This window comes from Homo sapiens, chromosome 2, assembly GCF_000001405.40.
Source record: "Homo sapiens chromosome 2, GRCh38.p14 Primary Assembly".
NCBI classification, from domain to species: domain Eukaryota; kingdom Metazoa; phylum Chordata; class Mammalia; order Primates; family Hominidae; genus Homo; species Homo sapiens.
Genome location: NC_000002.12, coordinates 149,174,690 through 149,188,458, shown reverse-complemented (window position 1 = coordinate 149,188,458; position 13,769 = coordinate 149,174,690). Strand labels below are relative to the sequence as shown.

The window sequence follows — 13,769 nt, the reverse complement described above, 5'->3', positions numbered from 1 at the left end:
TCAATCCTTTTCCCCACCCTCGGTGCAAGGGCTTAGAACATGGGAGCAGAGGAAGACATCACATTCAGATAAAGTCAGAACCAACCAGCCCATGGCTTGACAAGAGAGTTTAGAAGAGATCCAAGGTAGGGCCTATTTATAAGTGAAAAAACAAGGCCTCCAATTAGCCTCCAGAATCTGACACCTCTGAGTCTCTACTTTGCATCACAGGGGGGATATTAAATTCATGATCTAGAAGTAAATGAGAGAAAATAATGTTTATAATCAGTAGTTTAAATGTGCACTTGTCTCTCTCCTATACTGTCTCTTCACAACATCCATACAGGTGAGCAAAAGAAACTAGGAATGCTGTACCCAGGAAAAGACAATTTTACAAAAATGCTTCCCTAGTCATTGAATCTTAGGGAAGAAAATGGAACCAAACTGTGTCCCTGATGGGAAATGAGAATAACTAATGTTTTCCCAGCTAAAACTTTGAAAAATATGCTTTGCCACATTCAAAATCTTCACCCATTCATTTCTTTCCTTACATTTTCCTTACCTAAAAGCCACATTTTAATTAATTTCATAAAATAATCCAATTTATACCCTCTAAGGCAAGCTCGTCCAACCCATGGCCCACAGGCTGCATGCAGCCCAGGAAGGCTTTGAATGCGGCCAAACACAAATTTTGTAAACTTTCTTAAAACATTTTGAGATTTTCTTTTGCACTTCTTTTTTTCAGCTTATCAGCTATCATTAGTGTTAGCGTATTTTATGTGTGGTCCAAGATAGCTCTTCTTCTAATGTGGCCCACAGAATCCAAAAGATTGGACAAGCCTGCTTAAGTTACTAAATACGTTTATTCAGTTACTCAACCAATATTTACGGGGCACCTACAATGTGTCAGGCTTCATGTTGTTCATTGACGTTGCCTGAGATCCTGCTCGCAGGGAATCTTACTTTCCAATATTCAGCTGAAAATATCTCTTCTGCATTTCCTTTGTTTGGTTTACTGTGATTCTCATCTTCTTCTGTACAATGCCTTTCACATCTAGAAAATAATAATCTTATAACAATTGTATCAAGTCATGGGACCATGGCAGAGCAGGCTCAGAAATGATAGCCATTTGGGCATAAATAATTAAATATATGCAATACACTTCATTTAGTGCATTATTCAAATTCTGGGCTTATACAAACATGTTTCTGGAAATTACCAGCTGCTTCCTTTTGTGATCTCAGTAACTCTCAAAAAACAAGACTCAAAGGACCTACAGGCATACCTCAGAGATATTGTGGGTTTGATTCCAGACTACTGCAATACAGCAAGTCACACAAATGTTTTAGTTTCCTGGTGCAGACAAAAGTTATGTTTACACTATACTGGAGTCTATTAAGTTGTACCTACCTTAATTTTAAAATATTTTAAAATGCTACCTATCATCTGAGCCTTAAGCAAGTCATAATCTTTTTGCTGGTGGAGGGTCCTGCCTTAATGTTAATGGCTGCTGACTCATCAGGGTGGTGGTTGCTAAAGGTTGGGGTGGCTGTGGAAATTTCTTAAGTCATCAATAAAGTTTGCTACATCAATTGAGTCTTCCCTTCATCAAAGATTTCTCTGTAGCATGTGATACTGGTTAATAGCATTTTACCCATAGAACATTTTTCAAAATTGGAGCCAATCCTCTCAAACCCTGTCACTGTTTTACCAACTAAGTTTCTGAAATATTCTAAATCCTAGCTACTCAGGAGGCTGAGGCAAGAGGCTTACTTGAGTCCAGAAAGTTGAGGCTGCTGTGAGCCATGATCACACCACTGCACTCCAGCCTGAGTGACAGAGTGAGACTTTTTTCTAAACAAACAAACAAACAAACAAAAAACTGTTGTTTAGTGTAACTACCTTCATCAATGATCTTAGCTAGATCTTCTGGATCACTTGCTGCAGCTTCTTCATCAGCACCTCCTGCTTCACCTTGCACTTTTATGTTATGGGCATGGCTTCTTTCCTTCATCCTCATGAACCCACCTCTGCTAGTTTCAAAGTCTTCTTCTGCAGCTTCCTCACCTCTCTCAGCCTTTACAGAATTGAAGAGAGCTAGGGCCTTGCTCTGGATTAGGCTTTGGTTTAAGGGAATGCTGTGGTTAGTTTGGTCTTCTATCCAGACCACTCACACTTTTTCTGTATTAGCAATAAGGCTGTTTTGTTTTCTTATCATTCATGAGTTCACTGGAGTAGCACTTTTAATTTCCTTCAAGAACTTCTCCCTTGTATTCTCAACTTGGCTGTTTGGCACAAGAGGCCGAGCTTTCAGCCTGTCTCCGCTTTTGACACGCCTTCCTCAGTAAGACTAATCATTTCTAGCTTTCGATTTAAAGTGAGAGATATGTGACTCCTCCTTTCACTTGAACACTTAGAGGCCATAGGGTTATTAATTGAACTAATTTCAATAGTGTATGTCTCAAGGAATAGGGAAGCCCAAGGAGGGGAAGAGAGATGAGGGAATGATCAATCACTGGTACGGTCAGAACATCCACAGCATTGATGGATCAAGTTCACCACCTTATATGGGTATATTTCATGGTGCCCCCAAACAATTACAATAGTAACATCAAAGATCACTAATCACAGATCACCATAACAGGTATAATAATAATGAGGAAGTTTGAAATATTGTGAGAAGTACCAAAATGTGATGAAGAGACACAAAGTGAGCACACGCTGTTGGAAAAACAGCACTGATTGACTTGCTTAAACCTTTCCATAAACCTTCCATTTGCAGAAAATGCAATCTTTGTGAAGTGCAATAAAGCCAAATGCAATAAAACAAGGTAGGCCTGTATTTTCCAAATCAGCCTCCTTCTACTTACGTGTGGTCATTCATGTCATTTGCCTCCCTTTCTGCCAACCCCAAACTGACTAGGGAGGAGAATCAATTGGAATTCCTTTTCCCTAATTGCTTACTTTCCTTTTTCTCCAAACCTTGCATTTTTCCCCACTAAAACCACCTATGCCAAAACCATAGTTCAGTGAAATAAGTGTGATTAAGCAAATTATAAGCCAGCTCAGGGAGTCGCTCTAATTACTCTAATCAGGGATAGGTTCCCAGCTCACAGGAGGCCTGACTGGCCTAGAACTCTTGCTTCCTACCGGTGGGTGGTGTGTCAGCAGATGGCAATCACTGCTGCTATTTCACCAGCTTAATGTGAGATTGTTCTAGTTTTGGGCTTCAGACCCTTATTATTCTTCAATTTCTTTAATTGGTCCACTGAAAAAAATCTTGCCTTTAATCCCTGAGTGCCCCAGAAGCCCATGCAACAGTTGGGCATGGTGCCAGATTCTTCAACAGGAAGAAGAATATGTGTATAGGAGGAGATGCCGGTCTCCCTCTCTTACCACATTTGAGCTCCCTGATGGCAGGAGTAATCTTTCATCCCTAGAAATGAGCCTGACATGGAGCAGAGGCTCAAATGTTTGCTGAATATCTTGGAATGAACAAAGAAGAGAAAGCAAAGTCATATTTTCTTTTAAGAGGCACTTTATGGGACAAAGGATTTAATAAGGAAAAAAAATGCTTGTACAGGGAACATGCCTATCGCGTACTACATTTAAATGAGAACACTGAGAAGACAGAGACTTAGGAGTGTTCTAAGCCACATGGCCACCACTCCATACACACCTGACAGCAATGCATATCTGGTTTCTCACCATTAACTCAAAACAGTCAGAGGTGACAAGTCTGTATGACAAAGCAAGAGAAAGAGACAGAGGTTGGAGTGCAGAAGAAAAGTACCAAGCTGATGTCAAATCACAAACTTCCATCAGGAAAACAACAGCCAAGCAACAATCAACATTCTAACAAGCTTTATTTGGTTATAAAATTCTTCAGGGAAAATTCTAGAACTTCAGGAATATAACACCTTAATGAGGCCTACTAGGTAGTGGTATATCAAAATATTGCTCTCCCTTCTTATGCTTCTACTTAACTTTCTACACATTTTGGCAATGGTAGCTCATGAAAGAAAACTGAGAGATGGTTCAAGAGTTTCTTTATGAGGCTGAGGTCCCTGGGCCCTGCAGAAGGACAGATGTAAGAAAACTTGGCAAAGTTCACAGCTGCTCCATGGCCACACATTGATGAATGTATCCCATGTCCTTGGCTTCCTTACATGTAAGTAATTATGTTGCACACTGGATTAGAAAAGCCATGTTTTGGCATCATCAATCCAAATTTACCTGTGGAATTTCTCTTAGTGGAGGAAGCATTAATCAAATAAACTTTTTTTTTTTTTGAGATGGAGTTTCACTCTTGTTGCTGGAGTGCAATGGCTCAATCTTGGCTCACTGCAACCTCCACCTCTTGGGTTCAAGTGATTCTCCTGCCTCAGCCTCCCGAGTAGCTGGGATCACAGGCATGCGCCACCATGCCCGGCTAATTTTGTATTTTTAGTAGAGATGGAGTTTCTCCATGTTAGTCAGGCTGGTCTCAAACTCCCAACCTCAGGTGATCCACCCACCTCGGCCTCCCAAAGTGCTGCAATTACAGGCATGAGCCACTGCGCCTGGCCAAATAAAGTTTTAAAACTGAAAATACAGGCATATATATATATATATACACACACACACACACATACACATACACATATATGTATATGTATGTATTTTCCTCTTTTATTCATTGAATAAACATTCTTGAGCACTTACTGTGCGCTATATGAGGAACTAGAAATAAAAATTTAAGTAAGACATGGCCCATGTCCTAAAGTGATTTGAATATAGTGATGAAGGCAGTCCACGTACAAACTGCAAACCTGTGGCCGTTGCTATAGGGACAATGAGTTATGAAGCATTACTAACTCTACTACATGTATTCTAAAATGCCAGTAATTTCTGTAGCTTATAGTAGGTAAGGAAGCATATTATTTATGCTGAAACCATGCAGAGATGTTCCCAGAAATAAGCACATCTGCAGAAAACAAATCTATACACATTGTAGATTGGCCACATAGAACAAATGTCTCAGGAAAAAAAAATTATTTTCTTAAAAAAACAAAAAAGAAAGCAAGCACACTGGTTAGGATTTTCTGCAGATGTCATCAGAATAAATGGATGGGTACAGACAAGTGCTTAGGTTTGCAGTATGACCAGGTATCTTGCTGAGGCTCAGTCTACGCACCCTAAACTAGGAATTGGGCAATCTCCTACTTAGAGGATTTCCAGCAAACTCCATAGCTCTTCTATCTCCATTTCTGGTTTAGAAATTTCACCCTTCCAACAAAGTTTACTTCTTCCAGAAGCATAAGGTACAGTAGATACATCAAGCTTGAAAGGGAAAAAAATTAAATTTTACTGATCACCAACTTATCCTTTGCAAATTAAATCTTCAGTGTATTAAGTGGTACCCAGAATGCCTGTTTCCCTGATAAGAATTTATCACATGTTCACCTTATTTTCCTAAAGATATTCTAGTTATCTAAAAAAAATGGTATATTTCTCTGTGATCCAAAATGAAATAATTTCCACTTACATGAAGAAGTATTTGCCATCCACTTACTGAAGCACTAAGAGCACTCACTTTTATAATGGACATAACTTAATACAGGAACATTTTCTCATGGAAAGTATTTGACTAGGAAAAAGTGGAATGCAAAGTAATGTGGGCTATTAAAATACATAATCCCTTGACCCTATTGAAGGGCAATTTTGCTATTTCTGAAGCAGCCCCTTCAGTAAATAACAGTATATCCTGACAGTCTGAGATTCATTCCTACTGAAGGGGACTTTCTCCTTGTTGGTTGTGAGCATCCACAGAGCTTTAGAGAGGCAGTGCTGATTCAAGGGACTGACAGCTGGACTCATTCTAACCAGTCCTAGGACTGAGTTCCACTTGAATTAATTTTCAAGAGAGTATCTCACCCAAGCAACTTATTTACGCTGCTTCTTAAGGTCTTCCATGTCTGTTTTAAATCCTTAGAATTTCAATCTTGCTGTGGGAGGATTGCCAAAACTTCAAGTATTTATCTGATGATTAAATGGCTGCTACTGCCAGCACACCAAAAATAGTAGGTGTTGGAGGATATCAGAAATCAAAGTTCTATTAAACAGATCTATACGAAGTACGTATTGTGTGGTCAACACTGTGATAACCACCATGGAGTTTTAAACTATATGAAAACTCTTCGACCCAAAAAACTGATGATGCATTAAATAACTGGAGTAAGCACAGGGCAGCATATAATAAAGAATTAAAATGAGTGCTATAGGGTACAGAAAATGATTATGATTATACCTCATACATACCTTACTATTAAATAACAAAAATTTAAAAATATAAGGTGCTTAAATTAGATGAAATGCATTCACACACAATACCTCTTTGACTCTTACAACCACATGGTGAGGTAGGTGAGGGAGATATTATTAACGCCACTTACAGATGAGGAAACTATAACCAAAGAGGTCAAGGGGCTTAGGCAAGGGCACCCTGCAGATACACGGCAGAATTCCAGACGGCAGCCATGGTGCTCTCTCCTGGTTCCATAATCTTGCTGCCATACCATGCTGCCTTTTCCTTGCCATGGGAGGGAGAAGAAAGAAGAATTTGGAGGGTGAACTGTAAAGGATATTGTTGAATGAAAAATAGGATGTAAGATTTTCATGGGGAAAGGCAAATAGTGGCAGGGGCAAAGAGCATGACCACAGGTTTAGAGGCAGAGACTAGAAGAATGATTTCGTGAAATGGATTATGTATTAGAAGGAAGTGTATTAGAAGGAAAACAGGGTATGATAGGAAAATGGAATTATCCATGGAGGATTCAGAAAGTCAGGAGTTGAGTTAGAGTCTTTCAAGCAATGAGACTTTTTTGCAAAGGAGACTGCCAAGATCAATGCAAAGTTTAAGGAAGTTGATACAGTGTTCTCCTGTGCTAGATGGGTTCAAGGGATGGAAGGTGGGAGGCAAAGAGTCTGGGTTTCTGGAATCCAGCAGAGAGTGGCTGGGGGCCTGATGTAGTTCTGAGATATTAAGGTGGGTATCCTGGCAGAATTCATCACAGATGCATCTGTCATCTCATGTCACTGAACAACAGCAAAGCTGAACGACTCTGGCTACAAGGGATAGGGGATTTGGTGTTTACAAACTTAACATGGATTAAGCCATTTTAGGTTGGTTCGCTTAAAACCTATAAGATACGCCGTCTCCAGGATTCAGGATTAACAAAGGTAAAATTACCTGCATTTTCAGGCCTCCATTTAATGTGACTTCCTGAACTCAGCCAGTCTATTATTAGACTGGAATGGATGGGGGCCCCACAACCCTGCTGGAGTTCCAACAGATGAAGGGGAATTGAGAGGGGTGTGGGGTAGGTACTCTGGGTCCCTCACCCCCATTTAAATGAGAATAGATTTGATTTTATAAAATTGCTCCTTTTAGGATCTTTGACAAAATTTTATTTGGGTAAAGGCTTCCATAGCTTAACACATCTGAAAAGCCAACAATCTAGTCCATCCCCAGCCACAGACAGATTGGGAAGCAGGACCAGAGAAGTACAGGGCCTGGTCCAAGGTCACAGAGCAGGTGAGGCCCACTGAGAGGCCTTTTTAAAGTACATCAAATTGGGCAACTGAGGACTGAAAGAACAAAAATCAGTTCGTGTACTTTGAAGCCCCAGGGCCAGGATTCTTTCCGGGTCCTTTTTGTGCCTGTGGCAGAGCCGGTTCTCAGATGTCCTAACCAGGACAGCACACACAGCCAGGATCAAGGATCAGGACACAGCTCCCGGCCACAGGCAGCGAGGCTGGGCCTCAGATCGCCAGAAGTGAGACCGGGAGCCTGTTCCAGGGCTGAGCCTCCTGCCCACAAATTAAGCTTAGGATGCTTCCAGTAGGAAAGAGGGTCTAGTTAATACTTCCTCTGACTCATTCATAGTTCAACACTTCATAATTTCTTTTTTTCCTCACTTCAGTCTCCTCTGGGGGGCTAAGACTAAGGCCAAAACAAAATAAAAATCCACCTCCACCACCACCAACAAAAACCACCTTAAGAAAAGGGCTGTTGTGCCCTGGGGAAGACAAAGAAGTGCTGCAAGTTTGGAATTCTCGCAGTTACCAAAGAATTATGACCCAGAAGCAGGGAATCATTAAATCCAGCTGGTTTCACTTGTATAACAGCATATAACATTGTACCAGCTCCTTCACTGCCCGCTGAATCAGGAAGTTTAGGGAGAAAAAAACCCAGTAGAGCCCCTAGTAAATCTGTCTTTTTGTATTCGAATCCTAAAAAAGTATTCCCCACACCTTTTCACATAAGGCATACCGTCACCTTAACTATGTTTATCGAGACAGACAAAGTGTCTTCGCAGATGCTAGAGCATTTCTCTTCTTTGACAGCAAATACTGATTAAATCTTCCAGGAGAAAAGTTAGGCAAACACAAACCCAGTTTCTCGCCAGTTACAAAGGGACAAACTTTCCATTTCTGACATTTCCTTTCATTATTGTCAGGAAAAATAAAATAAATAAAAGTGATAAAATTTTATAGAAAATGTCTCCTGAAGATATGGCTGTTTTGGTTTTAACTTAGGTTGAACGATTTCCTACCAGTTTTGTGAATTACCTAATCTAACTAAAAGAATTCCTAAACCAGCTATGCTTCCTATTGTTAATTTAGAAAAACTGGGGAGAATGTGGATGATACACAAACCAACAGTGCCAGGTAAGCTTTCCGCTGGCAGGGCGGCACGTCACCCTTTCAAGATGGAGGATGCTGAGGGGACTGTGACTTTGCTGGCAGTGACATTAGTGGCAAGAGACTGTAAGTTATGAATTAGCAGGTCTCTGCGAACTGATTAACTCCTGGATATTCTGAATGCCTGGTTTAAAAAATAATAAATCAAAATGACCTTCAGGCACTCACCAACACTGTTAACAGAAACATCCCAGTTAGAAATATGGATGGAAAAACACGTTTGTGGCACATATACTGATCTGAGCTATAGAGTCTGTCTTTTTAATCACCCCTGTTAGGAATATAAAATCTCCTTAAAATAAGTCACACAGCTCTCTATACATCATAAGTAATTCACCAACATAAAGGCTACAGATTTTATCATCGTCATCGGCACTGCCAGATAGCTACTAAGAGTTACTGAGATTGGTAGACTTGGTTTGAGGGTTAAAACACTGTGTGTGCCGTCTCTGAAAATTATCTGCATAACTGCAGAGCTTTCTAATTCACGTTGAAGACTCATCATTATGCCAGGAGAAATTGAGGCTCTCAGGTCCCCAGCCTGATAACTCAATACACAAGCCTCCCTTTGGGTTCCTCCTGAAGGACTAGCACTTCAGCATCACTGTGGGAGGTGGGAGCAGGCCAGCCAGCATGCACTCGTCTCCTGCCTGCAGCTAGTTGGTGATTCTGAAGTCAGTGTGTACCGCTGCGACTTTCTTTCCCCACTCCCAAACTTGGCAATCTACAAATTGGCTAATGAAGGAAAAATAAGTAATCTCATGACGACGGTAGTAGACAGAAATGAAAATTGATATATACTTTTATTCTTGAGCTTGATTTTAAAAAGCAATCTCCATCCCACCAAGCTCTAAATGGCCGCCTCTCATTCCATCGGGGAAGGTGGAGAGCATGTTTGTGCAGACTGGCCTGGCCTTTGACAGATTTATTGACAAGACCCACTGGCTAGAGTAAGTACAGGGATGCATCATTTGTTGAGAAAGAGAAGAATATATACCACTGACTGGTTTCCAGGAGCTCATAAAACAGCCATTAGGCTTAGAAGATCATGTCTACAATGTATTAGTATCAGGAAGAAAGCATTAAAGGCATTTCTCAAGTTTAACGGAAAACAAAATTTCAAAAGCAAGGTGAGTTAGGCTGCCAGTGTCTGAAGTTGATGGAGATGCAGAGTCCCTTGACTTTGACAGGCTCTGCTCTGTGAACAGGGACTACACACTGCATGGCCTCCGTCACTTCGTTGTTTGTTGTCAGCTGAAAGGACAGAATGTTCAGGTAGCACTGTTCAGTTTCACGGGGGTGGGGGGAGTAAAGTGATAGGAAACTGACTTTTAGTTAATTTTGCACGGACATCTAGATCACAGTGGTGATAAGATGTTGTCTTTATAATACTTTAAAATAAATTTCTAAAAGATGAAAACTAAATATGAAAGCCCTGACATTATTGGATGGCGATAGAGGAAAGAACAATGGACACTGTCTATATGCTGAATCCACATGGAAAGGCTGTGCTGGAAGCCTAATTGCTTCTCAGCCTGAGTATTTAAACCTCTGGCCCCTAATGGAACACGAGTTAGTCTTAAGACTTAGTGTATTTTAGATTTAATTGGAGTCAAGGATATTTTTCTGAGATCCTCAACTTAAGAACTATTAGGAACTGTTTAACCTGAAAAAAAAAATACTTCTTGGAATCTCAATTTTCTCTTCTATAAATCAGGACAGTAATACTTAAATGTTAGGGATATAGTACAGAGTAAATTATAAAAAATACAGTGAAAATTACATTAATTAAGTACAAAGTGTGTTTTACAATGCCTAGCATATAATAAGTGCTCAATAAACATTACCTTACTTCCAGTTCTATTCACTTTCAATAGTACAAAAAAAAAAAAAAAAAACTCTTGCAGAAGGGATACAGTGCCAGGTTGTGTAAGGAGAAGATGCAGTTTGAGCTCTCTTGTTTGGGCAGCAGATTTCGTGAACCACCATCAGTCCTATAAACAGTCTCTGCACATCGCCTGCTAAAGTTGCTCATTGCATGGAAGGGATAATGAAGAAGCACCTGGCAGGCATGAGATTTGCCCACAGAGCATTAGCCATCTACTCCAATCCCTTGCAGATCCCAAAGCAAAGCATCCTGCTGTTGACTCCCAAAATGTCGGGCCTCTAAGCCAAAAATCAATGTATGAGTTGTTTCATTTCCCCTGGTAATTTACATCCATTTTCTTTACAAAGAGCAATGCTACTGGCTGCCAAAGAAACAAAGTGAAGGGGAATAAGAGACAGAAGGAAATAGCCAAATGGGAGCAGAGCTAAGGTAACCAAATAAACATCTCTCTTTACTGCCAAGATACTAAAAACATAACCCCAGCCAGCTTTGTTAGTTACCACCTTAGCCACATGGCTACATATTTGATGGAAACAGAGATCCAACAATGGAAAAATAAAAGCATTTCCCCACCAAATGAGTAGCTGGAAATGCATTTGAAGAATGGCATTGGGATGTTCCAGGCTCTCTCCATGCAACGCTAATCAAATTTACCCAGTTCACGTGTTTGGGGGCCATTTCTCTAACCACAGATGCTGCCAATTCCACCTGCAATCTAAAAACCCAGACTGCGCATTTGGTTCCTCAGTTCACCACAATAATAACTGAAACACCATTTTTCATGCCCTACAGAATGCAAACACAGCTGAATTGATCCACTTCAAATCTTCATAAACAATTCAACTGAGGATGAAAGCAGGTAAGACATTTCAAAGTGAGGATGTTTAGATGACCAGGGACATGGGGATGGTGGGTGTGTGTATGGGGAGAGGCACTTTTTAGCAGAGTTATTATTGGTTTAAAGCATAGCTGCTACTCTAATTTTAAAGTTTGTCAGGTATGCATTCTATATGGCTGCATGGGACGTCTTTTAGAACCAAATCCACTGCCTTCTGTAGTCTTTGGGGTGGCTACCATGCTAGCATATAGATGGCCCTCAGGCAGGTCTTATCAACTGCCTGTAGTCACCTGTTTAGCCTGAAGGCCCCACCAAAGTAAAACATCAGACACAGTTTGGAAGTCTGTGAATCAAATGGTTGAGGAAAGGGCAAGAAAGTCAGTAGATAACATGACCAAGTACAAGCCACAGGTCAGGGGTTAGGATGTCATGGGGGCAGGCAGAGGGGTCTTTGCAGGCATCTGGAGTCCAGCTCCAGACAACTTATCAATGGAGGTTTTATTCCTTTCTTGCAATACCCTGCCACACTTTCTGAAACTAATGATCGACTCCTTATTCTGTAAGGCCCAGCTCAAATTTTACTTAACTTGTCCTGAGCTCACCAGGTGGTTGTCTGCTCTCTTGGACACATCTTTACTAGGTATTATTTACTCTTTTATGTTTATAAAACTCCATCTTTATTATACAAGTAACACAAACACACACATCTGTGTGCACACACGCACATACAGTCACATGCCGCATAATGATGTTTTAGTCAAGGATGAACAGCATACACAACAGTGGTCCTACAAGATGAGAATGGAGCTGAAAAATTCCTATCCCTTATTGACTTCATAGTCATAACATCATAGCACAGTGCATTGCTAACATGTTTGTGGTGATGCTGGTGTAAACAAACTTACTGTGCTGCTTGTTGTATAAAGCTATAGCACAGACAATTAAGTATAGTACATAATACCTGATAATAAATGACTATGTTACTGGCTGATGTATTTACTATATTTTATTATTATTTTAGAGTATACTTTTATTTATTTGTTTTAAAAAGTGAACTGTATACAGCCTCAGACAGGTCCTTCAGGAGGTATTCCAGAAGAAAGCATTGTTATCATAGGAGATGTCAGCTCCATGCATGTTATTGCCCCTGAAGACCTTCCAGTGGGACAAGATGTGGAGGTGGAAGACAGTGATATTGATGATCCTGACCCTGTGTAGGCTTAGGCTAATGTGTGTGTTTGTGTCTTAGTTTTTAAGACAAAAGTTTAAAAAGTAAAAAAAAAAAAAAATTAAAAATTAAAAATTTTAAAAATAGAAAAAAGGCTGATAGAATAAGGATGTAAAGAAAAAATATTTTTGTATATCTGCAAAATGTGTTTTAAGCTAAATGTTATTACTTAACTGTGAAAAAGTTAAAAATCTTTCAGTTTATAAAGAGTTACAGTAAACTAAAATTAGTTAATAAAAAAAGAAAAATATTTTTAATAAATTTAGTGTAGCCTAAGTATAGTGTTTTTAAAGTCTACAGTAATGTCCCAGGCCTTCACATTCACTTACCACTCACTCACTCACCCAGAGCAACTTCCAGTCCTGCAAGTTCTATTCATGGTAAATGCCCTATACAGGTGTACCATTTTTTATCTTTCATACAGTATTTTTATTGTACTTCTTTCATGTTTAGATATATTTGGATGCCCAAATACTTTCCACTGTGTTACAGCTTCCCACAGTATTCAGTAGAGTAACATGCTGTATAGGATTGTAGCCCTAGGAGGAATAGGCTATAACATATAGCATGGGAGTATCGTAGGTTGTACCATCTAGGTTTGTGTGAGTGCACTCTATGATGTTTGCACAATGATGAAATGCCTTAATGATGCATTTATCAGAATATATTCTTGTCATTAAGTGACACCTGACTACACACACACACACACACACACACAGAGAGAGAGAGAGAGAGAGAGAGAGAGAGAGAGAGAGATTAAAGAGATTATTCACAGAGTATTATAATTATATATCTCTTCCCTTCACTAGACTATAAATTTTTTTTTATTTCCAACTCTTATCTTAGGTTCAGGGGTACATGTGCAGGATGTGCAGGTTTGTTACACAGGTAAACGTGTGCCATGGTGGTTTGCGGCACAGATCATCCATTCATAAGGTATTAAGCCCAGTATCCATATTCTTCCTGATTCTCTCCCTCCTCCCACCCCCCCAACCTCTGACAGGAATCCAGCAGCACATCAAAAAGCTAATCCACCACGAACAACAGACTTCATCCCTAGGATGCAAGGTTGGTTCAACATACACAAATC

The 13,769-nt window shown here is 40.0% G+C and overlaps 1 protein-coding gene and 1 long non-coding RNA gene across 31 annotated transcripts in view, besides 1 other annotated feature; one reads left to right on the top strand and one right to left on the bottom strand.

Moving 5' to 3' along the window:
• LYPD6B (LY6/PLAUR domain containing 6B) overlaps positions 1-13,769 on the bottom strand; it is a 176,564-nt gene that overhangs the window by 26,804 nt on the left and 135,991 nt on the right. For 4 of the 29 annotated variants that reach the window (XM_047443416.1, XM_047443414.1, XM_005246306.5 and 1 more), the window contains one exon: positions 880-1,033. The exons of the other annotated variants lie outside the window; for them this stretch is intronic. Coding sequence is in view for 1 of the 4 variants with exons in the window: in XM_047443417.1 (XP_047299373.1) it covers positions 880-905 (26 nt within the window). In the remaining 3 variants the exon portion in view is untranslated. The remainder of the gene's footprint in view (positions 1-879; positions 1,034-13,769) is intronic. 29 annotated transcript variants of the gene reach the window in all.
• Positions 3,043-3,212: an enhancer, noted in NCBI's record as "experimental_53218 CRE fragment used in MPRA reporter constructs". NCBI's record gives its function as "activates a minimal promoter by MPRAs in K562 erythroleukemia cells, with activity observed for both the introgressed and non-introgressed 2:150041846 variant alleles {active_cell/tissue: K562}" and the evidence as "EXISTENCE:reporter gene assay evidence [ECO:0000049][PMID:34662402]".
• Positions 4,064-13,721, top strand: LOC105373677 (uncharacterized). 2 transcript variants are annotated; one of them, XR_007087264.1, is made up of 4 exons: positions 4,074-4,151; positions 10,961-11,042; positions 11,406-11,472; positions 13,683-13,721. It is a non-coding gene; the product is annotated as an uncharacterized LOC105373677 (long non-coding RNA). The 2 variants fall into 2 exon arrangements; XR_923458.3 differs by lacking the exon at positions 10,961-11,042 and having other exon boundaries at positions 4,064-4,151.